At 50.2% G+C, this 26385-nt stretch overlaps 1 protein-coding gene across 2 annotated transcripts in view, besides 8 other annotated features; it reads right to left on the bottom strand.

Moving 5' to 3' along the window:
- The window catches only part of LIMD1 (LIM domain containing 1), a 91591-nt gene extending 67093 nt beyond the window's left edge, over positions 1-24498 (bottom strand). Inside the window, exons 1-2 of one of the 2 annotated variants that reach the window (XM_011534207.4) lie at positions 22962-24498; positions 6270-6357 (exon numbers count right to left, since the gene is read on the bottom strand). In XM_011534207.4, the coding sequence (XP_011532509.1) occupies positions 6341-6357; positions 22962-24369 (1425 nt within the window). In that variant the 5' untranslated portion in view covers positions 24370-24498 and the 3' untranslated portion in view covers positions 6270-6340. Of the gene's footprint in view, positions 1-6269; positions 6358-22961 lie in introns of those variants that run through there. The other variant, NM_014240.3, reaches the window with a different exon arrangement.
- Positions 4022-4121: a silencer, noted in NCBI's record as "silent region_14285". NCBI's record gives its function as "represses an Ori minimal core promoter by ATAC-STARR-seq in GM12878 lymphoblastoid cells {active_cell/tissue: GM12878}" and the evidence as "EXISTENCE:reporter gene assay evidence [ECO:0000049][PMID:35858748]".
- Positions 6351-6400: an enhancer, noted in NCBI's record as "active region_19781". NCBI's record gives its function as "activates an Ori minimal core promoter by ATAC-STARR-seq in GM12878 lymphoblastoid cells {active_cell/tissue: GM12878}" and the evidence as "EXISTENCE:reporter gene assay evidence [ECO:0000049][PMID:35858748]".
- Positions 7458-7527: an enhancer, noted in NCBI's record as "active region_19780". NCBI's record gives its function as "activates an Ori minimal core promoter by ATAC-STARR-seq in GM12878 lymphoblastoid cells {active_cell/tissue: GM12878}" and the evidence as "EXISTENCE:reporter gene assay evidence [ECO:0000049][PMID:35858748]".
- Positions 10896-11396: an enhancer, noted in NCBI's record as "H3K4me1 hESC enhancer chr3:45649345-45649845 (GRCh37/hg19 assembly coordinates)". NCBI's record gives its function as "activates a minimal SCP1, AML or CMV promoter by ChIP-STARR-seq in primed H9 embryonic stem cells {active_cell/tissue: H9 hESC(primed)}" and the evidence as "EXISTENCE:reporter gene assay evidence [ECO:0000049][PMID:30033119]".
- Positions 21627-22126: an enhancer, noted in NCBI's record as "H3K4me1 hESC enhancer chr3:45638615-45639114 (GRCh37/hg19 assembly coordinates)". NCBI's record gives its function as "activates a minimal SCP1, AML or CMV promoter by ChIP-STARR-seq in primed H9 embryonic stem cells {active_cell/tissue: H9 hESC(primed)}" and the evidence as "EXISTENCE:reporter gene assay evidence [ECO:0000049][PMID:30033119]".
- Positions 24622-24791: an enhancer, noted in NCBI's record as "active region_19779". NCBI's record gives its function as "activates an Ori minimal core promoter by ATAC-STARR-seq in GM12878 lymphoblastoid cells {active_cell/tissue: GM12878}" and the evidence as "EXISTENCE:reporter gene assay evidence [ECO:0000049][PMID:35858748]".
- Positions 24882-25011: a silencer, noted in NCBI's record as "silent region_14284". NCBI's record gives its function as "represses an Ori minimal core promoter by ATAC-STARR-seq in GM12878 lymphoblastoid cells {active_cell/tissue: GM12878}" and the evidence as "EXISTENCE:reporter gene assay evidence [ECO:0000049][PMID:35858748]".
- Positions 25022-25491: a silencer, noted in NCBI's record as "silent region_14283". NCBI's record gives its function as "represses an Ori minimal core promoter by ATAC-STARR-seq in GM12878 lymphoblastoid cells {active_cell/tissue: GM12878}" and the evidence as "EXISTENCE:reporter gene assay evidence [ECO:0000049][PMID:35858748]".

The following is a 26385-nucleotide window of genomic DNA, read 5'->3' as shown; positions in this document are numbered from 1 at the left end:
CTGCTTGAGCCCAGGAGTTCAAGACCAGCCTGGGCTATAGTAAGACTCTGTCTCTACAAGAAAAAAAAATAATAGATAAATAAAGAAGAGCTAGCATTTATTATACACACAACTGGTAATCAGTTTAGATAAGACAAGCAACAAAAACATTTTATGATTTCCAAAACCATTACCTCATTGTCCTTTTCTAGAGAGTATAGTTTTTTAAAAAACATTTTTAGTGATGCATACATAAAGAAAAGCCCAAATATTGTTAAGTTTACAACGCAATAATTTTTCACAAAGTAAGCACTCCTGGTAAACAGCAAGCAGATCAGGAATCACAGCATCACTAGCCCCAGAATTCGGGTCCACTCTTGCTGAACCTAAGGACCACCCTGCAGTCCTGGTGGGTCCCAGCGGCAAGACCTTCCTCCCCACGTCCACAGCCTCCCTCCTGCAGTGGAACTGTAAACAGTGGGTTTTGGTATAAGCACTGGGTTCAGATCTGACCTCGGGCATCGTTGTGGCTTCTTCACCCACCAAATGGGCTGTGACAATAAATGCATCTCACAGGGTAGCGGTGAGGATTAAGTGAGATCATGTAAGCTCTTACCTCTGCTCCTGGCACAGAGGTGCCCCATAAAAGTTCATTTCCTTCCCTCCCTTTCTAGGAAAGGTGTTTTCTTCCAGGCCTTAGCACAGTGAATTCATAAAAAGATAAAACCACTCTCCTCACAGACACCCACATTCCACACACTGCACTTCACAAAACCTCCTGAGTTCTTCCCCAGGCCTCCCAGACTCTCCGGACTGAGCTCTCTCCTTCCCTGCCCCACGCCCCTCCCTACTCCTCCACTGGGTAATGACCACACTGTATTGGAACTGTCCCCATAGGACAGCAGGGCCCTTGAGGACTCAGCCACCCTTTTGACCTGAGCAGGTGCCAAGCTCACAGCAGGCGCTCAATAAACATCTACCAAGTGAGTGAAGGAATGAATGAATGACGCACGCAATCTGACCTTAGCTTCTCTCCTTCTCACAGCTCCCTGCTCCCATCTCCCCACTCAGCACGCTTTCAACTGCCCTCCTGCCTCCCTCCAACCACGGAAAACACAAACTCCAGCAGGCGGCTGAGTGTGTCCATGTGGGGCAGAGATGACTGGAGTGGCAAGAAGGGCTCAGAGGTCAGTGACCTCAGGCAGTGAGGTGCCCCACCACACGGAACCAGAAGGGAACCAGAATGAAAATCCTTTCATTTTTCCAGAAAAAATAAAATCCCGAATTCTCCTCAGAAGTAACACAGAGTAGATTTTAGAGATGCTCTGAATCTGCATTCACCAAAGAGGAGGAAGGCTATACCAGAGAAGGAAAAGAGGCAAAGTGAAAACTGTTGGTAGAGCCTATTAAAGCTGAGGGGAGGTTTTGTATTCTCTCCAATTTCCCCACCGACAGCCCTTCCCGTCCTCCCGCTCCCCAGCAAGTCAGAAGCAGAAGGCTTGGTTGCTGCCAGCCAGGCAAGGGACAGCCTCCAGCAGAGTCCACCCACCCACAGTTGTCTCCTTAGAACAAACAGAAAGTTTCACAAGCACACTTTGTTCAGTTCTGCAGCTTACCAGGTGAGTGACCTTGTGGCTCTCTGCTTTAGTTTTCGCATCTTCAAAACAGGAGAGAAAATTGGCGGGCACTTTGCAGGGCTGCTGGGAGGAGGAGAAATGGAGCAGGTAGACACCTGGCACAACTGTGCTTGACATGCAGTCATGAGCCTGGCGTGGGAGGAATGGGTAGGGCACTGGGCAGGGTTCATGTGATAAAATGGAGAGTTTAACATCGGTTCTGTGCCTGCCTGGGAGTGTAACGCAGGGCAAACCATCAGGGCCCTTTCTTAGAAAAGACAAAAACATTGCTTTTTAAGACTATCTTGGACTGGTGCAGTGGCTCACACCTGTAATCCCAGCACTTTGGGAGGCCGAGGTGAGTAGATCACCTGAGGTCAGGAGTTTGAGACCAGCCTGGCCAACATGGTGAAACCCCATCTCTACTAAAAATACAAATAATAATAAAATAAATTAGCCAGGTGGGGTGGCACACACCTGTAGTCCCAGCTACTAGGGAGGCCGAGGCAGGAGAACTGCTTGAACCTGAGAGGCAGAGGCTGCAGTGAGCTGAGATGGTGCCACTGCACTCCAGCCTGGGCGACAGAGCTAGACTCTGTCTCAAAAAAAAAAAAAAAAATAGGCCAGGCACGGTGGCTCACACCTGTAATCCCAGCACTTTGGGAGGCCAAGGCGGGTGGATCACGAGGTCAGGAGTTCGAGACCAGCCTAGCCAACATGGTGAAACCCCGTCTCTACTAAAAATACAAAAATTAGCTGGGCATGGTGGCGCACACCTGTAACCTCAGCTTGAATCACTTGAGCCCGGGAGACAGAGGCTGCAGTGAGCCAAGATTGCGCCACCACACTCCAGCCTGGGAGACAAAGCAAGATTCCGTCTCAAAAAAAAAAAAAAAGACTTTCTCATATCAAATCTAATGTAAGTGAGCTATCTGCAATGCACACACAGGCATGATTTGCTTGTGAATCTTGAAGAACCAACACATCTTTCAGGGAGGGGCCTGAACAACTACCTTGTGCAGTGGAAAGAAACTGGAATAGTGATGGGCTCACAGCCAGGAGGGGGACCCGGGTGCAGCACACAGCAGGGACTCAGGGTGGGGAAGGCAGGACCTCCAAGGCTACTTTCAGGACTTTGGCTCCAATTCTGTGGGTGAGGAAGAAGGGGTCGGGGGCACTGAAGGATTCTTTCCAAGCCCAGGAGGGATGTGACCCGGTTTTGTTTTTACAGGATCCATCTGCCTGCTAAGTAGGTCAGGTCTTTGGGAAGGCTGCTGGCTGGAGAAGAAAAACCTTCTAACAATCTCAACTCATTGACACTTGTCCAGCTGTCCCTCGAGAGAGTGAGACAGCAAGGAACAGAGGTTTGTCAGGAAGATGCTGGCAAGAGATCCCTGTTGGGGGCAGCTGGCAAGAGATCCCTGTTGGGGTCAGGAGGAAGGGGGCCCAGTTCTCAATTCTGATTCCAAAATTACTCATATCAAAATAGAACCCAGCCATTCCTGCGAAAAATAAAGGCAGAAACTGGGGTGACACAAGTCTCCCAGAAAGTTTCTTAAACCAGAGGGAAGCAGCATTGCCAACAAGTAGCAGAAAGGGAAAATGTTTCATATGCTGGCTTCTGAACTCTATTTTTAATCCCTAGAGGCCCCTGAAGGCTGGCTGAAGATGCCGCCCCAAAATATGCCACTTTGACATAGTATTATATCAAACTAAAGACACTTGAAAAACAGCAGATGCAAGAAGGGCATCTTCATCTTCAGGAGACGAAAACTCCCATGTAAAAGGTACCCCCTCCCTATGGACATACAGTGCGGAATGACAGACATTGGAGGCTTAGAAGGGAAGGGGAAGAGGGTGGGTGGGGAGTGAGGGATGAGAAATTACTTTTTTTTTTTTTTGAGACAAGTTGTCAACCCACCCAGGTTGGAGTACACAGGCGTGACTATGGATCACTGCAGCCTCAACTTCCCAGTCTCAGGCAGTCCTCCCACCTCAGCCTCCAAAGTAGCTGGAACCACAGGCACGCACCACCTTGCCCGGCTAATTTTTCGCATTTTTAGTAGAGATGGGGTTTTGCCATGTGGCCCAGGCAGCCTCAACTTCCCAGGCTCAAGATATCCCCACTCCCCTCAGCCTCCCAAAGTGCTGGGATTACTGCCCAGCCAGAAATTACTTAGTGGGAACAATTTACACTGTTCAGTTGATGGTTACACTAAAACCCAGATTTCACCAGTAGGCAATAGATCCATGTAACAAAAGTGCACTTCTCCCCCCTAAATCCATACAAATAAAATACAAAATAAAATAAAAGGTGCCCTCCCTGTACCATGAGAAAACAAACACTCTTCAATGGAGAGTAACAGCAGAGAAAATTCTGTACAAACAGACCTTGTTAAAATAAGGCTTACTTTCCTTTAGCCTCCCCACATAATTTGGTTACTTTCCCACAAATGCCTCTCTTTGTTCAACCTCATATAAACACATGTATGTTTTGCCACTGCTTTGGGTCTTCATTTGTTTATGAGGGCTCCCGTGTCACATAGAACTTTTATTAAATGTGTATGCTCTTCTATTTACCTATGTCAATTTAGTTTTCAGACCCCACCAGGACCCCAAGAGAGAAGAGGGGAAGTTCTGCTCCCCGACATCCTCTATTGGCCCAACTTTCACTAAAGTCCCCAAATCTACAACAAAGTTAATTTTAGTTCACTCAAATTCTTTAAAATTAAATATCTATGTGTAAAAGAAAAAAAAGTCTATCCTAACAGTGATTATCCCTAGAGTAGGATGATCGGTGACCTTTCCAATTTTTTTCTATACTTTCTGACTTTTCTACAGTTAGCTGTGTTTAAGGTTTAAAAAACGGCAAAAAAAAAAAAAAACACCCAGGAATTTATTTTTTATTTTATTATTATTATCACTTTTTTTGAGACAGGGCCTCATTCTGTTGCCCAGGCTGGAATGCAGTGGTGTGATCATGGCTCACTGCAGCTTTGACCTCCTGGGCTCATATGATCCTCCCACCTCAGCCTCCCCGGTACCTGGAACTATAGGCACGCACCACCACGCCCAGCTAATTTTTTTATTTTTCGTAGAGACAAAGTTTCACCATGTTGCCCAGGCTGGTCTTGAATCTCTAAGCTCAAGCAATCCCCCTGCCTCAGCTCCCAAAGTGCTGGGATTACAAAGTGCGTGAACCACAGCACCCGGGCAGAGGATTTCCTTTTTTTTTTTTTTTTTTAACTACAGGTGCCCGCCACCACGCCCGGCTAATTTTTTATATTTGTTGTAGAGGCTGGGTTTCACCATGTTAGCCAGGATGGTCTCGATCTCCTGACCTCGTGATCCACCCGCCTCGGCCTCCCAAAGTGCTGGGATGACAAGCATGAGCCACTGTGCCCAGCCTAAGAGGATTTCTGTACTAGAGAAAACTGGTAAAAGCAAAAACAAAAAAATGTTTTTTAAATCAAACTCTTAAGAGAGCAAAGAAGCAAAGTAAAATAGTGATGGGCTCACAGCCCATCACTATCAAGAAAGGAATAAAATATCTTGTGAAGATAATATTTTAACAGAGGAAATTGGGAGGGTATCAGCCAAGCGTTGCCAGCTCAGAGAACAGGTGGCTTAGAAAGCAACAAGTAAAGCAGGGCCCCCAAGAAATTCTAAAAACAGCTGGAGAATCAGAGGAACTTTCACACTGCTGTGGGAATGCTAAGTGGCACGGCCACTTTGGAAAAGTTTTTGGCAGTTGCTAAAAAAGTTATACATACACCTACTCCATGATCCAGCAATTCTACTCCTAGGTATTTACCCAAGAGAAACGAAAGCCTGTGTCTATACAAAGACTTGTACATATAAGGTGCAGTGGCTCATGCCTATAATTCCAGCACTTTAGGAGGCCAAGGCAGGAGAATCACTTGAAGCCAGGAGTTCAAAACCAACCTGGACAACATAGCGAGATCCCATATTTACAAAAGAAAAAAACAAACAAAAAAAAAACCCAAAGTCTTACACAAAAACAATCCTAACAGACTTATTCATAATAGCCAAAAATGAAAAAAAAAAAAAAACCTCAACAGGGAAATGGAAAAACAAATCTTGTGGTGTATCCATACAATGTAATATTACTCAGCAGTAAAACAAAAGCACAATTGATAATGCAAAAAGCCCAGTTGATAATGCAACAGCATAGCTGAATTTCACAGATATTATCTGAGTGAAATAAGCTGGACAAAGGAGTACTATAGTTGATTCTCATTATTTGGCAAGAATACTGAATCAGTCAATACTGAACCACTGCTTCTGGCAGAAATACAGGGTTAGGTTTCTGAAAACTTCTGACCACAACACTTTCATCAACTGATGAATATATGACCTTGTTTTATGTGTGCTTCTATTTAGAGACACCTTCCTTAGTATATATTGTTGATTCATTAACATCGAACCCTCAGCCAACAGCCCTGTAGCTCGTGCCTGAAGAAAGCTTCTCTCATACATATTCTCGTTGTAAAGCACATCACAGCCCTCTTGCTCTTAGGAACACTAGAAAGCACTCCAGCACTGTGCCTGGGGGCCATTTGAAACAGCAAAATCATCAACAAAAACCACAAAAATGCAAAAACCATGGCACTAAATAGACCATGAAAAGGACACCTGTTTACTGCATGACCTGAAACAAGAAGGCGGAGCGTTGCCTTGTTCGACTTCAGCTGGGAAGATAGGCGTCAGGGGACTCAAACTTTTCAGCACTCTGTTATATCTGTGAATGATCACAAAAGAACTGTGAGTATTAATTTTGGGGTTACAAATAAATTTTAGCAAGTAAGCTGATTCACAAATACAGAATCTGTGGATAATGAAGATCAACTGTATATAAATACTATATGAATCCATTTATATTACATCTTAGAATGGGCAAAACTAATAAATGATTTTAAAAAATCAGAATTGTAGTTGCCTGGAGGTGAGCACTAACTGGAAAGAAGCATGAGGGAACTTTCTGGGGATGGAACTATTCTATATCTTGATAGGAATGTGGGTCACACAGGTGCATGCATCTGTCAAAACTCACTGAACTACACATTTCTCTGTATGCAAATACAGCATTTTGAAAACAATTCCTAGACACTCCTCCTATCAAGAAGTGAGAGTGTGGAAAGGCTTGTGAATGCTTAAAGTAATAGAGCACAGCAGAATGACACTAAATGACTTCCAGGCATTGAGCCTGACCCCAAGTATCCAATGCAGACATCAAATAGCCTGCAAAAGGCCTGGCACAGTGGCTCACACCTGTTATCCTAGCACTTTGGGAGGCCGAGGTGGGAGGATCACTTGAGCCCAGGAGTTCAAGACCAGCCTGGGCAAGACAGCGAGACCCTGCCTCTACAAAAATTAACAAATTAGCCAGGCATGGTTGTGCATACCTGTGTTTCCAGTTATTCGGGGGGCTGGGATGGGAGGATTGCTTGAGCCCAGGAAGCCAAGGCTACAGTGAGCTAAGATGGTGCCACTGAACTCTAACCTGGGTACAGAGTGAGAATTTGTCTTTAAAGAGAGAGAGAGAGAGAGAGAGAGAGAGAGCGCGCACCTGCAAACCATGACAGAGCTGGGCAGAAGCCATGCTAGCTTCCTCAACACCACCTCCTTTCTTTCTCCCTGCCTTCCTCACCGCCTCCCACCAACTTCACTTCCTCTGCTCTCTGGCTACAAATTTGGGCAGAGATGCCTCTCCCCACACCTCACACACCCACCGTCAGGCATGGGCAACCCAGAGAGGTGGCAGCTGTGTGCTATGGGTAGAGGAGGGGCTGCCAGCTCCAGTCCATTCATGGCTTCTAACTGACCTCTGTGGCTGGCCAACAAAGAGCCTCTGTGTAAGTCCCTGCCACCTGCAAGCAAAGCCTCAGTGATGTCAGGACAAGCCTCAGACAAACAGGCCTTTGCAAGCTGCCTGGAAAGCCACCTCCCAGCCTGCCCCTGCATTGGCCACAGGCTTATTGGGAGGCCCATACCCAGGAAAGGGCTCCATAGCCTACACAGAGGGATAGGACATAGGCATCCCAGTAGCCTGTGGCCCCTGATGAGCCAAATCCCAAACAGCCTTCCTCCCACCTCTTGGGACAGGAAACACCATCGTTCACTTCTCTACCTCCCTCAAGGGGATGGGCCATCTCTTTGGGCTTTCTGCCTGTACTTGCTAAACTGAGTGTATTTTTTAAGGCGCTGGAAAGTTGGCTCAGCTGCAATGACCACCTGCTCCATCAAGCCCTGTGCACACAGCAGCTTCGGACCCCAGAGCCCCCCTGCTTCAAGTGGGAACGGATTCGTTCTAAGGCTGCGTGGGAGCAGCCTGCCATCCCTTGCATCAGGCATTTGGCCTCAGTGGGCTCACTTGGTGGTTGGCAATCATGAAATCAGCCTCCCTTGAACAAATGATGATCTTTTTGTTTAAGCATTTGTGGTTCTGAACAAATCGATTGGGCTTGGCTTTCAGATGGGACAAGGTAAAGACGCTTCCATGCTTTTGAGAAAATGACAAAGCAAGAGAATGTATACAGCAAACGACCATGTGTTACAGCCTGTTCTAAGTGCTTTGTAAGGCACAGCCCTGCCCAGCAGAAAAATATGCAAGCCACGTGCGATTTTACATTTTCAAGTATCCATACTTAGGAAGTAAAAATAGGTGAAACTAATTTTAATGTTTTACTTAGGCCAATATATCCAAAAGTCTCATTTCAACATAGAATCAATATGAAAAATATTAATAAGCCACTCTTTTCTCCATACCAAGTCTTCAAAATCCAGATGTGCTTCAAAAGCACATCTCAGTTCAGAAAAGCCACCTTTTGAAGTACTTCACAGTTGCACGTGGCCAGTCTCCCGTACTGGACAACTTAGATCAGATACTAGCTAATTCAGTCCTCACAACCATATGCACATTTTACTGATGGGGAAACTGAGGTACAGGGCTGCTGAACAACCCGCCCAAGGTCTCACAGCTGTTGGCAGAGCTGGGGGGTGGCAGATCCAAAGCCCACGTGCTTATTAGGCTTTTCATTCCCACCAACAGCTCCTCAAATCAAAGCCACCATGCATGCCTGCCAGCATGTCTCCCTGCTCCCTGCCAAACCTGCGCAGGCCTTTGGTGAGCTAGTCCCTGGAACTCTATAAGTTTCTATCCAGATAAAGCATGTATCCCAACCCTTTCTGGCCCCTCTAGTCCTCAGCTACCAAAGGCATCTCCTACCCACATGAGAGCGCTCATCTGAGTAACTCTGGTCAGGGTGAGGGATGTGGACAGCAGCCCAGTGCCCCTGCCTCCCTACCACGTCAGTGTAGGGTATGGATTGATGCCAGAATGTGTGTCCCAGCTAAAGGCACTGACACTCAGGAGGAAGTCAGGGAGTATCTGCTCCCCACATCTGGCCAGAGTGTACACATATTCATTCGAGAAGTCTTTTTTTTCTTGAGACAGAGCCTTGCTCTGTTGCCCAGGCTGGAATGCAGTGGCACAATCTCGGCTCACTCGCCTCCCGGGTTCAAGTGATTCTTCTGCCTCAGCCTCCCGAGTAGCTGGGATTACAGGCGCGCGCCATCATGCCTAGCTAATTTTTGTAGTTTTAGTAGAGATGGGGTTTCACCATGTTGGTCAGGCTGGTCTCGATCTCCTGACCTTGTGATCTGCCCACCTCGGCCTCCCAAAGTGCTGGGATTACAGGCATGGGCCACCGCACCCAGCCTCATTCAGTAAGTTTCCACTGGGTACCTGCTGTGTGCCAGGCAGTGCCTTGGGCCCTGGGGATACAACAGTGAACAAAACAGACAAAAACCCCACTACCAAGGAGCTCAGATACAGCAGGAGGAACTAAGCAATACCTGTTTGTGACAAAAGGAAGCCCTAGTAGTCCTAATTCAGTCTCTTGCACATAGTAGGTACTCAATAATAGCTGCTGAATGAATGAGTTATCCTGGCTTGGAACTACTTTTTCTGGATGTGGTAATGCAAAGATAGGTCTGGGGCAGGGGTAAGTGAGGGCTGTGGAACCCCGCAGGAAAGCCAGTGACCCACTTGGGGTTCATGCCCACAACTCCAGCTTCAGGAATCTGGAGCTCCACCCACCAAGGAAACCAAGGAACCATTCAGAGCCAGGCGCGGTGGCACATGCCTGTATCCCAGCTACCTGGGAGGCTGAGGCAAGAGGACTGCTTGAGCCCAAGAGCTTGAGGCTGTAGTGTACTATGATCACACCTATGAATTAAAAAGAAAAAAGAAGAGAACATCATGAAGCTCCCCCAGGTTATATGCTGACCGACTGAAATTCCCTTAACCGCAAAATGTAGTCAAGTCTCAAGTTTACCACAAGGGACAGGGATTCTCCAAGTTTACTGAATCTGGAGGTCTAGCACTTCTAACATTCAACTTCCATTCCGTGCTTGGCCCTCCTCCCACAAGCAACGTCACCCAAGTCCTCACCAGATAAGCTCTCCCTTCAAAACTCTAACAGGTAATCAAGGTCTGGTGAAAATTGGCACAGCTACTACCAGGCACAAGTTATGGAGAAAATACCTATGTAGCATCCACTGTTTCTTAGCCACTACTGCTGAGCAAACAGTAGCACTGTCACCAAAATATTTCCCTTTTTTATTCTGATTGGGTAATATTATAAATACATACCATGATTCATTCATTCAACAAATATCTCATGAGTAACTTCTACAGACCAGGTCTTTCGGTTTCTATTTTGAACCTTATCACTAATTCAGTGTTTGGTTTTATTTCTTCATTCTCCTTCTTTTTTTTTTTTTTTTTTTGATACCGAGTCTCGCTCTGTTGCCCAGGCTGGAGTGCAATGACACAATCTTGGCTCACTGCAACCTCCGCCTCCCAGGTTCAAGCAATTCTCCTGCCTCAGCCTCCCGAGTAGCTGGGACTACAGGCATGCGCCACCACACCCAGCTAATTTTTGTATTTTTAGTACAGACAGGGTTTTACTGTGTTAGCCAGGCTGGTCTCAAACTCTTGACCTCAAGTGATCCGCCCGCCTCGGCCTCCAAAAGTGTTGGGATTATAGGTGTGAGCCACGTGCCCAGCGTCATTCTCCTTACTTCTTAGAGACAGGGCCTCTCTTGCTTCTAAACAAACTTTGTCATTGTACACGTTTTTCACACCCTCCCCAACTCAGGCTTCTTCACTCCGTCAGTGGGCTTCTCTGCAAGCAAATGAGGGAAAGCTTCCAAGTTCAACCAATGTACATGCCTGCGATGCCCCCGCCCATACACACAAGGTGTCCGAAGCAAGTTCTCCCTAAACCACTGTCACCCTCAGAGCCAAGAGTCTTCTCCCAGCCAACAACCCTGAATCTAAAACTGGCTCTGAGGCTCAAAGCAAGGGAAAGGACACAGGATTATAAGCAGCACAGGACCTCCAGTCTCCATAATATGAAGAAACTGAGGACAGAAAAGTGAAGCAGAAAAGTCAAGCTTACAGCCAGAAAGCAGCACAATCAGGCCTGCAATGCAATCCTTGCTGCCCACATTTAATGTAAAGATAACTGTCAGCAAATGCCCTGGAACCTAGCCATGGCCAGCAGCTGAGCTGCCCCCAATTCCATTTCTTTCTAAATTTACTACCTCACTGCATCATCAGGAAGGAATGCAAACTGAGGTAGCAGGAGGGGAGGGAACAGGCGACATTTTGGCAGATGCAAAACCTCAGGGCCAGCCCTAACCATCACGCGAGCAAACGTGGCCATAACTTGGTTCCACCCTGCTGAAAGGAAATCCATCAACTCGGCTGACAGGGAGGTGCAGGGGAACAGGGAAGCTGCTGTTATTGTCAGAAGGGGTTTCGGGCACAAAAAGCAAATCTGCTCCTGCTTTACCACCTGAAATGGCCGTCACATGCTGGCCAGCTCGGGCCTGCTGGAATATGTGCTCACCCCCTGACTTGGAGCCTGCCTGCTAAGAGGGGTGCCTTACCCACTAGGTCCTCTAAGTACCTCAGTCACTATCCTTCCAGAACTAGCTGCAGGGAGGACCCATGCTAAATGCAAACTCCCTCCCTGGAATGACAGCATCATGGCAGGCTTCCAGAACTTTTTGTGTGCTACAAAACATGTTTGTGGGGAGGGAGGTAGAGACCCCTGAGATGCTCCCCACCAGCTTTCAGTAACCGGGAGTAACCCATCCTCACTCCCCGGGGACACAGCGACAGTCACACAACAAGAAAGATGAGGAAGGAACTTGGCCAAGTTTAAACTCATGGCTCTCAAAACTTAAAAATAACCTGGCTGTGGATCCCAAGAACTCCCTTTGAAACACTCAAGCAGAAAGTCTCCTGCCTTCCCGTGTGACCCCGAGACCCTGTGTCCAGCTGGTTTCCCTGTAAGGGGAAAAATGGAAAACAAAAACTGGAGTGGATATAAATATTCGCTGGCAAGTGCTACCCTGCGTTGCCACGCCTTGGAAATTTCGGTGACCTGTTTTGTTTTAGGACAAGGTTTCTGTTCAGTTTGCTGGATGGACTCTAAGGACAGTGTCATCCAAAATTTGGTTATAGGCCAGGCATGGTGGCTCACACCTGTAATCCCAGCACTTTGAGAGGCCAAGGCGGGTGGATCACTTGAGGTCAGGAGTTCGAGACCTGCCTGGCCAGCATGGTGAAACCCCGTCTCCACTAAAAATACAGAAATTAGCCGGCCAAGGTGGAGTGTGCCTGTAATCCCAGGTACTTGGGAAGCTGAGGCACGAGAATTGCTTGAAACTCGGAAGCAAGGTTGCAGTGAGCTGAGATATTGCCACTGCACTCCAGCCTGGGCAACAGAGCGAGACTCTGCCTCAAAAACAAAAGACAAAACAAAACAAAATTTGGTTCAAGCACCTCTGCACACAGCCTGGGGTTGCTCCTGACCCCCAGACAAGGCATCTTGCTCACGCCCAAGGGAAGTATGGGCTGGCACACCCCTACCTATGCCTGCAGCACTTGGGGATGTCACACGAGCACCCCTGAGGACATGGTCCACTTGCCCTAACCCACACCTCTTCAGAGGAACACAAGGCAGCCCATGTGCCTCCGAGCCTCTGGGGCTCTGTCCACTGCCCTGCAGGGAGGCACTTGTGCAGGCACAGGCTCCTGGACAGAAGAGAAAGCTGGAGACAGCCTCTCGTTGCAAGAGTGGGACCCAACTCCTCCAGTCAGCTCAGGCATGCCTCCACACTCTGCCTTCTTTGCTGCTCCTGGAATGGCCCTGGCTCCACCAGAGTACAAAAAGACCTCAGCCTTGACCTACCCTAGCCACAGTAGCCCCTGAAGTTTCTTCTTTGTTAGAAAGGAGAAACTTCCAAGAGCTAAGAGGCATCACAACACAGTGGTCAAAATCTCCAACTCAGCAGCCAGACTCAGCAAAGATACTTCATAAAAGTACTAGGCGGGCCACTTAACTTCTGTGTAGCTCAGTTTCTCCATCTGTGAAATGGGGTTAATAAAGTAGGGTTGTTGGGAGGATTGAACAACGTAATACAGGTGAGTAAAGCATAAGAAGTGCTTAGAAAAGTGTCTGGCAGAGAAACTGCTAGACCAATTTTAGTAAAACTGTCTCAGAGCCATAACCCCAGCTAAAAATCCCTTATTCCACCTTCACGGCCTAATGGAAGTCCCTCCGCTCCTTCAACAGGCATCCACGGAGCCCACAGCATGTGGGGCACTGGGACAAAGAAGGGAGACTGGCCCAGACACTGCTGGGCCTGAGCCCACTGTCCTATGACAAATGATCAGGCCTGAGACCCAACAACACCCAGGGCGCCACAGGAGCCCACGGAGAGGACTGGGTCATGCCGGTACAAACAAGGACAGTGAACGCCACAAACCAGAGCTCCCAGCTGCCCCCTGCACTAAGGATGACAAGTTTAATTGGAATGAGCGCCTCAAAAGGCCTGCAGGGTTGGTGATCATCATCATACCAGTGGCTTGCCATGTGTGGTTATTTCCTAAAGGACACCTTTCGTCCTTTCTAATCTCACTTTAATTAGATGCACTCTTCCAAGCAAATTGGCCTTTAGCTCAGTAAATGATTCTACATTTGGCCAGAGATCCAAGAATCACAGTGCCTGATACATTCTGTATCACCAGTGGGCTCAGCCACTACTTTGTACTGGATACTTTCTGCAGACAGTCTTAACACTGATTATTCTAAGAATGGAAGGTACATGAGTGATTCATGTTTCTTCTTTAATTGTATGTATTTTCCAGAATATCTAAAGTAAAAATGATTACCACTTACAATTGCAAATGTAACCATAACTAAAAATAAAAATTGTTTTTTAATTCCGTAAAGGTCTGGAAAGGGGCTGGGATGCCAGGCCGCTTGGCCTCTGCCTTTCCAGGCTCTCTGCCACTGCCAACAATAATGCTGCCCAGTCCCTGTTACATGGTTAGCTGAAACCCAGGCATCTAGTTATACCTAATGCCACTGTCACAGGACTTTGGGCCGGGAAGGACCCTGAGAGGTCATCTTGGCTCAATAGAGCTAGAGGGACTTGCCCAACATCACACCCTGAGCTGCTGGTGGTATCAGGCCCAGAAGACCTGGTTTCCTGACTCCCAAATATGTGTCTTTCTTGCACAGTTCTGTCTCCTATGTGACAGTCACAAATCAACAGATGTAAAGAAACATAACTTTTTAAGACCCCTGGCAAGAATGATCATGTCAAAATAACCGTTTCATGTTCTGGACTGTTAATGGAAAGAGCAGGAGGGCTGGATGGAAGAAACAAGACATTCTTTCCTGGTCACAAAAGAACAGAGCAGAAACATACCATACCAAGGAGGGAGGACTCCAGAGAGAAAGCATGACGGGACAGGCAGACGCTGTGGGAATCCATGTCGGGACGCGCCAGGGCTACAGCTCCCAGCAGATCAGCCTGCTTGGAAGGGATTGGTGGCATTGGCAGCACAGCACTGGCCAGAAGAACATCCGTTGGGAGCCACCAAGGCAAGGACCTCAACAGGCTCAGAGAAAACAAGGCTGGGATGACGGGGAAGAAGGAGCAAGGTGAGGCACAGGAGGGGTGGGCCAGAGCGAGGGTCTCCAAGGTCACAGTGAGAGGAGTGTGAATCCATCGCACTGGCTGTCCTTCCCCACAGCACTCAACCCAGTGCTGAGAACACAGTGTGACCTGACACGTATGCATCATTGACCTGCTGATTGAGCAAAAAGATGAACCTATCTAAATGAAGTTTGAGAGCTTCCTCACCTCTGCCCCTGGAAAACTCTGAAGAGAAGTGCTGTGGAGAGAGATGGCATGCAGGGACGGGGCTGAGGCACATGATGTAGTCACATCCCTTCAGAGAACACAGAGGACCGAGACGGTATCCAGTCCTTGACCACTGACCACACAGGAGTCACCGCTGTTACAGGGCGAGCTTCCAGCCCAGGAGGACATACAGTGGAGGTGGCCCTGGGCAGACGGCACCAACTCCTTGCTGTCTCCAGCCCAAGCTTCACCCAGGTCAGCCACACGATCTCCATTCATCCATCCCCAAACATGCCATAATGTGTTTTTACATTTTCCAAGTTTTTAAAAGTTACATCAAATCCCATGTTTGTTTAAAAGCCCATTTTTGCTATCAGAAATCAGACAGCTGATCCTTGGACACTTGGTGGTGACTGTACAGGGGCACAAGGAGCGTCCTGGGTGATGGTCATGTTCTGCCTTGATCTGGGTGTTGGCTACACAGATGGGTTCACTTTGTGAACATCTATGATATGTGTACATCGTACATCAATAAAAGGTTAAGAATACATGTCTTCCTGACTTAGGAAGATTGCCTGGTCCATTAAAAAAATGCATGGGCTGGGCACAGTGGCTCACGACTGTAATCCCAGCACTTTGGGAGGCTGAGGTGGGAGATCACTTGAAGCTGGGAGTTCAAAACCAGCCTAAGCAATATGGTGAGACTCTGCCTCAATTTTTTAAAAGAATGCACAGAGACTGCCCGATGTCTAAAGGATTGGGCATCCCCATATCCCTGGGTGTGCATCTGCAGGGCCAGAGAGATTGGAGTCTTGAATGTCACTGACAAATGTTACCAGCAGAGTCAGAAATTTACTTCCATGTCAATGGAAACCTGGATTCGGCTGGTTCAAATTATGGCACATCTCCAAAAGGCATTCTGGTGGCAGTCCCCACGTCATCATATCTAGTCATGCCAGTCACTCAGACAGAGGCACACAGCTGTTGAGCTTCTGTCACTTTCTTCCACTTCAGCAGTTGGTTTGGGTTTAATGAAATGCCTGATATGGGAGGAGGCTGGTTAGCCAGTGCCTCTGGGGAACACAGACAGACCTCTGTTCTGGAATTCTGGAGGGGCTGCTTTATTACAAGACTAGCCCATGTTGTTTCCTTTTATGTGAAAAATGCTCGATTTTTTAATCTAGGCTGGAATTAAGCACCATATTTCAAGCATCTATTGCTAATAAAGTCTGATAAACAGTAATTAAAAAGTCATGAAGGGCCAGGTGCAGTGGCTCACGCCTGTAATCCCAGCACTTTGGGAGGCCAAGGCGGGCAGATCACCTGAGGTCAGGAGCTCAAGACCAGCCTGGCCAACATGGCGAAACCCTGTCTCTACTGAAAATACAAAAATTAGCCGGGCATGGTGGTGCGCGCCTGTAATCCCAGCTATCCAGGAGGCTGAGGCAGGAGAATCGCTTGAACCCGGGGAGGCGGTGGCCGCAGTGAGCCAAGATCGCACCACTGCACTCCAGCCTGGGTGACGGAGTGAGCCTCCGTCTCAATTTAAAAAAAAAAAAAAAAAGTCATGAAAACGAGGAGCAGCTCAGTGTGCAACAGACTGTCAGATGGAAGGGCATCTGTAGTCATGTAGACATGCAGATAGGGCATCTGTAGTCATGCAAATAGGACATGTAGGTACATAGATAGGACATCCACATGTTCCTTGCTTGGACTGCTCGTTTAACCCTGTGCATTGCCAGGAAAGTAAAATCAAGTAAGACAGGCTCCCTGGCCCCGGTCAGGGCAGGGCCATTCTCAGGAGGAGTCACACCTGCTTTCAGGATCCCAGGCTAAGGGGGGTCTGTCACTGCAGTTTTCTGGGTTAGGATACTGCTGAAAGGACATCCACCAAAGACAGAAAAACCAAACACAATGCCAACCCTTCCTTTCTCCATGCTGGTGAGGAGCAGGCCTGTCCATCCACTTCCTGGGTACAGGAGACCCTGGAACCTGCTTATTCTTGCCTTTCCCACCCCTCTGGTCCTAACAGCGAGCAGAATGTGGCTCTCTCCTGGTTAGCTTTAGCCGTGACAGATCCCCAGGCCCACCCACAGCAGGGAGGGTGAGCACAGGGGCTTCAGGTCCAGGGGACACAAAAGTCCACAGCCCAGGCCGGGCGCAGTGGCTCACGCCTATAATCCCAGCACTTTGGGAGGCCAAGGAGGGTGGATCACAAGGTCAGGAGATCGAGACCATCCTGGCTAACACAGTGAAACCCCATCTCTACTAAAAACATATATATAAAAAATTAGCTGGGCGTGGTGGCGGGCGCCTGCAGTCCCAGCTACCCGGGAGGCTGAGGCAGGAGAATGGCTTGAACCTGGGAGGCGGAGCTTGCAGTGAGCCAAGATCGCGCCACTGCACTCCATCCTGGGCGACAGAGCGAGACTCTGTCTCAAAAAAAAAAAAAAAAAGTCCACAGCCTGAAATATGGGGGAAGAAGGCATGGAAAACGCAAGGAGCCCACAAAAGCTCCCTACAGTACGTGGGTGGAGAATGAATCTGGAGGGGCAATAGAAGGCATCCACTCAGACGTGAGAGACCACCTAGTCCCACCATGCAAGTGGTCAGAGCAGAAGCAAAATCCCGACTGGTATGGGAGCACCACTACTTGTACCCATATGGTCTTGAGCAAGTCACTTAACCTCTCTGGCCTCGGTTTCTCAACTGTAAACAGAGAATGGTGCCTACATCAAAACTAAGTGTGCAGGTTAAATGCCAACAAGGCCCACAAAGCACTGAACTCCAGTGCCCGGCACACCACTGGCACTTGACACACGGTAGCTACTACTAGAACCATAATGCCCAAGTCACCCGCTCCTACCTGCCCCCAGGAAGGGGGCACTGTGGGGATGCTGCAAAGGCCCTTCGATGAAGGCGAGGACAGGGGAGGGCACAGCTGCTGGGGTGCGGCAGGCAGGTTGCCCTCCTGTCAGCCCCTGAAGAGACTATCCCAGCTGCACAGAGCTGCCTCGCCCAAAGTCACCATCTTCCTGGGCAGCCCACAGCCAACAGCTGATCCATGAGGGAGTGTGAAGGCCAGGCCATGTCAGGCCAACTAGGATGACCCTAAAGGACTTTTCCAGCTCCCAGGCTCCCTGCGGGGTCAGGTCCCAGCAGCTCAGCTCTCCTCTACCCACTCCTGATTCCTTCTCCATCTTCCACAGGTGGGGACCCCAAAAGCACCTTTTAATAAGCCCTTGTATGGTCAACTCTGTCTCAGTCAGCTTCCCAGGAAACCCAGCCTATGACAAGTGGTTTATTTGTGGGGTTTTTTGTTTTTGTTTTTGTTTTGAGACAGGGTCTCCCTCTGTCACCCAGGCTGGAGTGCAGTGGCATGATCATATCTCACTGCAGCCTCAGCCTCCTGGGCTCAAGCAATCTTCCCACCTCAGCCTCCCAAGTAGCTGGGACTACAGGTGTGCACCACCATGCCTGGCTAATTTTTGTGTTTTTTGTAGAGATGGGGTCTCACTATGTTGCCCAGGCTGGTCTTAAACTCCTGGGCTCAAGCAATTCTCCTGCCTCAGTCTCTTGAGTCGCTGGGATCACAGGTGTGAGCCACCACACCCGGCTTGTGTCCTTTTTCCTTAGAAAGGGAGAAGAGGACCAGTGTGAGGAAGATAGGTGGATCACATGGAGGAGACGGTGGGGCACAACTAACAAAGGCACGGTGCCCTCTGCACCCCACCTCTGCAGTGTCAGCAGTGGTGCTAAAACAGAAGCCACACTGCACTAGGTGGTGTAGGCCAGGAGCAACGCCTAGAAGACCAAAAACCCAACAACATGGACAGAGAGACACAAAGAGGCAACGGGGACAGGGGGTGGGGAGGATGGCTGGAGGAGGAAGTAGGCCCAGCAGAGTAGGGAAAGAGACACGCCTCTGTAGGATCCTATTTTACTAAACCCACAAAGACCAGCCATGGAAAGTGCCAGGAGAGTTCCCGTGCCAAGTTAATCAGTAACTGGAAACTGGGCATCTTGAGACTCTAAGGGCTTACAAAGGTGGCAACAGGGATTCACAAGCTCTTCCCACAAAGTCAAATGCCCAAAGGGACACCTTCAGTTCAACCTAGGAAGGGGCCCAAGCTAACCCAAACATCTACTTTGCTTTGCTTTTGGCCTGAGTGACATCACCTCTCATGGGGAGTTGTGTCACTCTGACTCTCACTGCCAAGCGCCCTGCACCATTAAACATTCTTCTGTTTGGAAGTAGAATCTAACCATTATTTAACAAATGTAGCGTGTTGGGTAGACAAAATCTTTCAAGTAATACCAGATGTAGGGGAGGAAAAAGTATCTGTGGGAGGGAGCCCCTCAGCTGTCCAGCCTCCTCAGGCTACCGACAAGGGAGGAGTGGTCTGGAGGAGCATGTGGTCTCTTCATGGTCCCCACACAGGGCCAGGCAATGACTGCCAATCTTCAGACCGAAAGACTTCCTCCTCTGCCCCAAGGTAGGTCGCAGAAGAGCAGATGGAAGCTCTGCCACCAAAGCAGGTGTGGAGCAAACCCTCTCCTACATAGCTGGCAGCTCAGCCCTGGCATGAGCTCTGCAGGAAGCAACCAAGCCACACCTAAAGGACACAAACCACGCAGCCCCACAGTCCCACTCCTGGGAGCTCATCTTGCAGCTACGCCTGCCCCTTGTAGGTGGGTACATTCCAAAGGCCCATCAGTGAGGGCTGCTTAGGTGACCTTAGGTGACCTAGGCACATTGCACAGCAGCCACGTATAGCCAGCTGAACACATGCTGATGTAGAGCCACTGCCAAGACGCTGTGCAGTGGAACAGCATGCCACCACTGGGGCTGGCAGAAACACACACATGCTTATTACACCCAGAACACTTGACTAGACAGACCAGGGAAAGAGGCTCGATTTTCACTGTGCGTGCTTGCTTATCTGTGAAGTTTATACAAAAAATGAATAAAATACACGATTCCGTTTCTAAATGAAATTCCAGAATAGGTAAATGCCATAGGGACAGAATGCACATTGGTTGTTGCCAGGAGCTGGGAGGGGATGGGGGAAACAGGGAGCAATTGCTTTATGGGTATGGGGTTTCCTTTTGGGTTGACGAAAACATTTTGGAACTGGACGGAGGTGTTCATTGTACAACGTTGTGAATGTATTAATATTAAACACCACTGAATTGTTCACTTCAAAATGGTTAATTTTACATTATGTGAATTTCATCTCAATTAAAAAAAAACCATAAAAATAAATAAATAAAATAGGCTTCCAAATCTCTGCTTGGGAGACTGTTTGGCAATGCTGGTTAGACACATGGGCCCTGAGGCTGAACTGAACTGTCAGGTTCAAGTCCCAGCAGTACCCAATATGACCTGTGACACCGCCAGTAAGTAATTTAATCTCCCTGAGCTTCCGTTTTCTCATCAGTAAAATGGGCATAATGGCAGAACCAGCTTCCAAGGATGCTGTGACCAGTCAATTCAATAGTCAGCATCAAGTGTTCAGTACAGTGCCCAGCACAGACCAGGCCTACAGGGACTCTGTGCTTGCTGTCTGCTCTGCCAAGAACACCATTTCCCTGGGAAAACACATGGTCCAGTCTCCTGCCTGCCTTTGCTCAAATGCATCTTCTAGGTGGGACATTCCCTGATCACCCAATTTAAAACTGGAAATCTCTCTGCCACCCCCAGCCCCAGGGCTCCATTCCCTTTCTCTACCTTGATTCTCTCCCTAGTACTTGCTTATTTACTTCATTCACTCCCTGCCTCCTTCTACTACATTGTCTGCTCCAGGGAGGCAGAGGTTCCTGTCTGTCCTGTTCACTATGTATCCCCAAGACCTGGAATAGAGCATGGCCTCAAGATAGGTGCTCAATAAATTTTAATATATGCTGAATGGATGAGTAGCGTCAGCTAATACCGTTGCTCTGATGCACAGCATAAACTTGCATCTCAAGATAAAACTGCTGTTTGTGTTGTCCAATGAGCTTGAAATTTACAACTAAACAAAAGTTTAAATTAAAAGACCCACAGTATTTCCAGCTAACTATTACTCCCAAATGTGGGAATGTGCTGAGGAGAAAAGATAGTTCACAGTAAGATGGTGCCATGTGCTTTAAAAAATAAACCAGTAGGCCGGGCACAGTGGCTCACACCTGTAATCCCAGCACTTTGGGAGGCTGAGGCAGGAAGATCACTTGAGCCCAGAAGAACAGCCTGGGCAACCTAGAGAGGACCCCCCACCTCCACGTCCCCTTCCTCCCCTGCTTCCTCTTAAGTAGTCCTAGCTACTCAGGAGGCTGAGGTAGGAAGATGCCTTGAGTCCGGGAGGTCTAGGGTGCACTGCACTCCAGCCTGGGCAACAAGGCAAGACCTTGTCTCAAAATAAATAAATAAATAAACAAATAAATAAATAAAAATAAATTTAAAAAAAGTAAGCCATAAACAGCTACCCTGACCTCAGCCTGCTGAGTATGGGGTGAGAACTGGCTCCCACAAGGTTCTCATGAGAAGCAAAACACAATGCTACCATAAGCTGCACACATCCAGCAGCCCAGTGCCTCAGACCCTGGTCCCTCAAAGGACCTTGGGACACTTGCTCGTTCACGGAGAATAAGCGTAGACTGACAGCAGTAAGCCAGCTGTCTTCCTCTCCCAGGGCCTTCCCTGTCCCTGCCCTCCACTAGGCAGAGCTGCTACCCCAGCAGGACTCAGGCTATGGGGAACACGGGGGTCAATTATCCAAAGTTAAAAACTGAAAAAGAAAAACCCCTCCGATTCTCTGCGAATAGGCTGTCTTTCTAGTTAGCTCTCTTATGAGACAACTAATCATTACTCAACAGAAAGATACAACTACCACTAAACCTCGTGCAAAGAAAAAAAGTTGAAGCTAGCAGTCTCCAAGAGTTTGTGGTTTTAAAAAAGAGAATAAAACAAAACATGCAAGTTTGAGTAAAACCAGGAAGACACATTTTCCATCATAGTTTGTGCCACGGCTGTGGTGCAACCTGGCTGTTGGCTGTTACCTGGGTGTAGGCTGGGTTAGGAGGCACATGGTGCGGCAGGGCTCAAATCTCACCACACAGCAGGATCACGGCTGGCTGGGTCCCATCCCACAGTTTCTGATTCAGTAGGTCTTGGGTGGGGCCCAAGAATTTCCATTTCTAATCAGTTTCCAGGCAAAGGGATGCTGCTGATCCAGGGACTACACTTAAGAACCACTGCTCTGGCCAGGCGCGGTGGCTCACGCCTGTAATCCCAGCACTTTGGGAGGCCAAGGCGGGCGGATCACGAGGTCAGGAGATTGAGAACATCCTGGCTAGCGCAGTGAAACCCTGTCTCTACTTAAAAAAAAAAAATTAGCCAGGTGTGGTGGCACGTGCCTGTAGTCCCAGCTACTCAAGAGGCTGAGGCAGGAGAATTGCTTGAACCCGGGAGGCGGAGGTTGCAGTGAGCCGAGATTGTGCCACTGCACTCTAGCCTGGGCTACAGAACGAGACTCCATCTCAAAAAAAAAAAAAAAAGATCCACTGCTCTACAAGTCTTTCATGGTAGTGTTTGACCTGCCTCAACTGCACATAAGTACCCATCTACACACAGACACACACACAGACACACACACACGGCAGTCAAGAGCCCCTGCCTCAATCACTGGTCCCTCAAACAGCCAGATCAACCAGATCTGCCCAACCAACTACAGACTGAACGCTCAGGGGTAGCTGCCCCTGAGAAAGCTGGTCCCACTGAAGTCCTATATGAGCCTGTCACTGCAAGAGGCTCTAAAGTCACACCCAAAACCCTTGAAATCCAAAGTCACAGCATTTCTCTTTTCTGAGAGCAGTCATGAGCAATCCCACCCTGCTGCACCCTTCACACATGGGTAACCCCAGCTGCAAGGTCCGCTTTCTGCCCCAGGATGCTTTCAAGTTTCTGAATCAGAAAAAGCAGCTGAAAGAGGAAGCCCAAAACAAAAAAATAAAAAAACAGGCCACTCAAAGAGAGGTAACTACAGCCCACAGCATCCCTGGTAGGGGGCATGTTCCCCAATCTCAAGAACCCCATCGCCCCACCATAGGCAACTCCACCAGCCTCTCACTCACCAAAGTAATCAGCCTTCGGGTGAGCATCCATCTCTCGCTCCAGACGTTGGGTGAGGGCTTCTAATTTCAACTCAGCAGCAGAGGGTCTCAGCTCAGGACCTGGGACGAGGGGCTGGCAGGGCAGCCTTACCCTAGGGGAGCTGGGGCTGTCCAGGAGCACAGATCCCAGGCTACCATCAGAAGACCAGCCCAGGGGACCCTCTTTACAAGATAACTCAGGCAGGGTGGACATCACTGGATGGACAAGACTGGTGGGGCTGAGCTTGGGACCAGTGCCAAGGTCTGTGCAGCCAGGCTTCGGCCCCAGCCCAGGGACCGCACCCTGCTGTGAACCGTCCAGACCAGCTGGCGAGGATGACGGGGCAGAACTGGAAAGGTAAGATTTGGGCCCATCCTGGAACCAGGGTTGGGGGTCCACATTGGGTTTGGACATCACACCTGAAACCTCACCCCCCAGCCCCGAGTTTGATCTTGGAAGACCTCCTTGCCTGGGGCAGCTCAGGGCCAAGGGTGCTGACACAGAAGGGGTCCTGGGCTGAACAGGCCCCACAGCTGGTGCTCCGTTCTCCAAGTTTGGGGAAGGCAGGCCAGGGCTCACCCGCTGGGAGGAGGCAGTGGACCAAAGGCCTGTTGGCTTCTCGCTGCTGCGGCCACCAATGCCACTATTCTGACCACCGAGGCTACCCTCAGAAGACCTGCTGGAGCTCAGGGAGAGCTGTCGGTGATTTAGGGGATGGTCCCCGCAGGGTTTGGGCAGTGGTGGGTCACTCCCCGGGGAGCTAGGCCACCCACTCCCTACACTCAGGCCGATGCTGGGGGACACTCCTGGTTTGTCACCCCACTTTGGGCTTGCCAAGGAGAGGTTGTCATAATAGTCTCCATGAGTGAGGCAGGAAGGATCCTCACAGGGGCCTGGCTGGTGGAAAGCAGACATCTCAGAAGTCGCCAGGCTCTCCCTGGAACCACAGTCCTGGCTGCCATGCCTCGTGCCATGCAGGTATGGCCTGGATCTCTGCTCCTGCGGTGGGTACGGGGGCTGCCCAGCAGCGAGGGTGGTGACTGCCCCAGGTGCCCCTGTCGAGGCAGCAAGAGGAGGCTTGGCAGCACCATCCACAGTCAGCTTGCTGCCCACAACTTCCCAACGGGCCTGTGGGCCCAGGCGGCCCCCTCCATTGACAGGGCCTCTACTCCCCCTGGGCAGAGTCTCCTCCTGCAGGAGCTGCTGCTGCTGCTGCTGGAGGTGGATTTTGGCCATCTTGGTGGCGAACACCCTGCGAGTTTCCTCAAACTCGGGGTTGTTGCCTGCACCCTTGTCCACTCGGAAGAGCCCATCCTTAGAGGCCTCATACATGTTCAGGTCCTCGATGAATTTACTGGCCTCCAGGCCCAGGTCGTCATACTTATCCATGCTGCAGACAGGTGTCCGGGCCTAGCCCAGGTGCCGTGTGTGTGTGTGTGTGTGTGTGTGTGTGTGTGTGTGTGTGTGTGTGTGTGTGTGTGTGTGTGTGTTGAGGGCAGCGGGGAGATGCTGGCGAAGGGTCGGGGCTCAAGTCCGGCCCAGTACAAGTAAAGACTTCCACCTGCCTAGCGTGAAGGGCATGACCCCAGGATTTAAGAGTCCAGCCGAAGTTGAGACCTCAACGCCAGCTGGACCAAGTTTGCTTCCAACTCCCTTTCCCCTGGAGACGTCCTTGTTGGGGTAGCTGGTGGCACTTCGCCGTCCCGGGCCTGCTCAGCGGAGTTCTTTTCTCCTCTTCAAATTATAAAAGGAAAAAGAAAACAGCAAAAAAGTAAAATCACATCCTCCTTAGGCAACCAAACACGGAAACTCACAGCAAGGCAGCAGCCGACTGGGCCGGGTGAAGCTGAATCGGCCGGGAGGGCGCCGAGGCCGCGAGTCGGGCCGGAGCAAACGCGCGGCGGCTGAGGCGCAGGTACGTTCCAGGCGCTGGGTCCTCCGCTGCTTCCCCGGAGCTGCGATCCCGGCCGGCGCCTGGCAGGAACGCCGTCCGGGACGCACGGGCGGCCGAGCAGCGGCAGGAAGTTCACGGCAGCTGGGGCTGGCGGCCCATTGTCCGATGGCGGCGGCGGATCGGCGCGCGCGGGCCGGAGGGCGGCGGGACGCGGAAGTGAGTGCGCCAGGCGCAGTCCCTGCTGCTCGCTCGCCGGCTCTGCACGTCCCGAGCCCGCGCCGGGGCGGAGGGGGCGGCCGAGGGGCGGGGACGGCGCGCGGGCGGGCGCCCAGGGGCAGGCCTGCACCCGGCAGCGTGGCTGGGCCTCCTGCCCCCAGGCCTGGCTGGAGAACACCGAGGGGTGCCCCACAAGTCCGTCCCACGCTCTAGCACTGGGACTGCACGGGACTTCGCCGCCGCCACTGCCGCCCCCTGCGAGTCCTGGACCGAATTGGGTGCTCCGACCTCCCTTCCAGCCTCGGGTCCTCAGCCCGGCCCCGCCCCTGGCAGCGCTGGGCGGGGTCCTCCGCTCGGAGACGGGCGGCCTGGGTAGCCTGCATGGGCCCAACACAGGCGCTGGGAGTTTGCGAGGACTTTCGAGGACGCCGCTCCTCGCTCCACTGCCTCAGTTTCCCCGGTGGAAAGCCAGCCCTTTGTGCCTCTCGAGGCCGGCACCGTCCAGGCTGTGCCCGCCGCCCGGCTTGCCCGAGGTGCACTATTGGAGAGGCGCACGGGCGTGTCACCCATGGCTGGCCCACCGTCCTCTTTGACAGGTCGGGAGACTGAGGCAGAGAGGGGGAAATGCCCAACATGCCAACGTAACCAGCAAAGCGTAGATGGGAGCCCGGGCCCTCTGAAAGAGCGAAAAAGAAGAAAGTCTCGTTGTGCCTGCGCGCATTTCACGTCCTCAGTGCAGCAGTAAAAGCACGTGCCCTAGTAGGCTCGTTATTCGTAGAGGGACCCATCTGCAAGTGGATCCGCGCGGCTGCAGGGACACCAGGCCTGACTCCTTGGCGCCCCCGCATGGCCCGGGACTCCCTATACCAGTTCCCAGGCGATCCTGGAGAGGTTTCATTTCCCACACTACAGCCATCGTGATCCTAAGGCAAATACTAGAACAGACACTTCTCTACCTAAATCCTCAGTGCTTACCCCAGAATTAAATTGAAATCGGCCCCTTGCCGCAGCCTTCTGGGCCAGATCTAGGGATCTTCCCTCCCTCCCTGCACTCTAGCTGCAGGAGCTTCCTGGTGTCTGCCCAGAGCTTGCCCCTAAACTGAGTGGCTCATCTTTCCCATCCCTGCTGAAGTCACCTCCTCTTAGAGGCCTCCTCAGAGTGGTTCCTGTTGTTCTTTTTCAGCACCCTCTTTACTTCCTGCTCAGTTCTGATAACTATTTATAATTATTTATTTGTTGGTTAACATGCGTTTTTTTTTGTTTGGTTGGGTGGTAGGTTTCCCACTCCATTTGAC

The sequence above is a fragment of the Homo sapiens genome, chromosome 3, assembly GCF_000001405.40.
Source record: "Homo sapiens chromosome 3, GRCh38.p14 Primary Assembly".
NCBI lineage: Eukaryota > Metazoa > Chordata > Mammalia > Primates > Hominidae > Homo > Homo sapiens.
The sequence above is the reverse complement of the archived record's forward strand: the minus strand, read 5'-3'. Positions and strand labels throughout refer to the sequence as shown.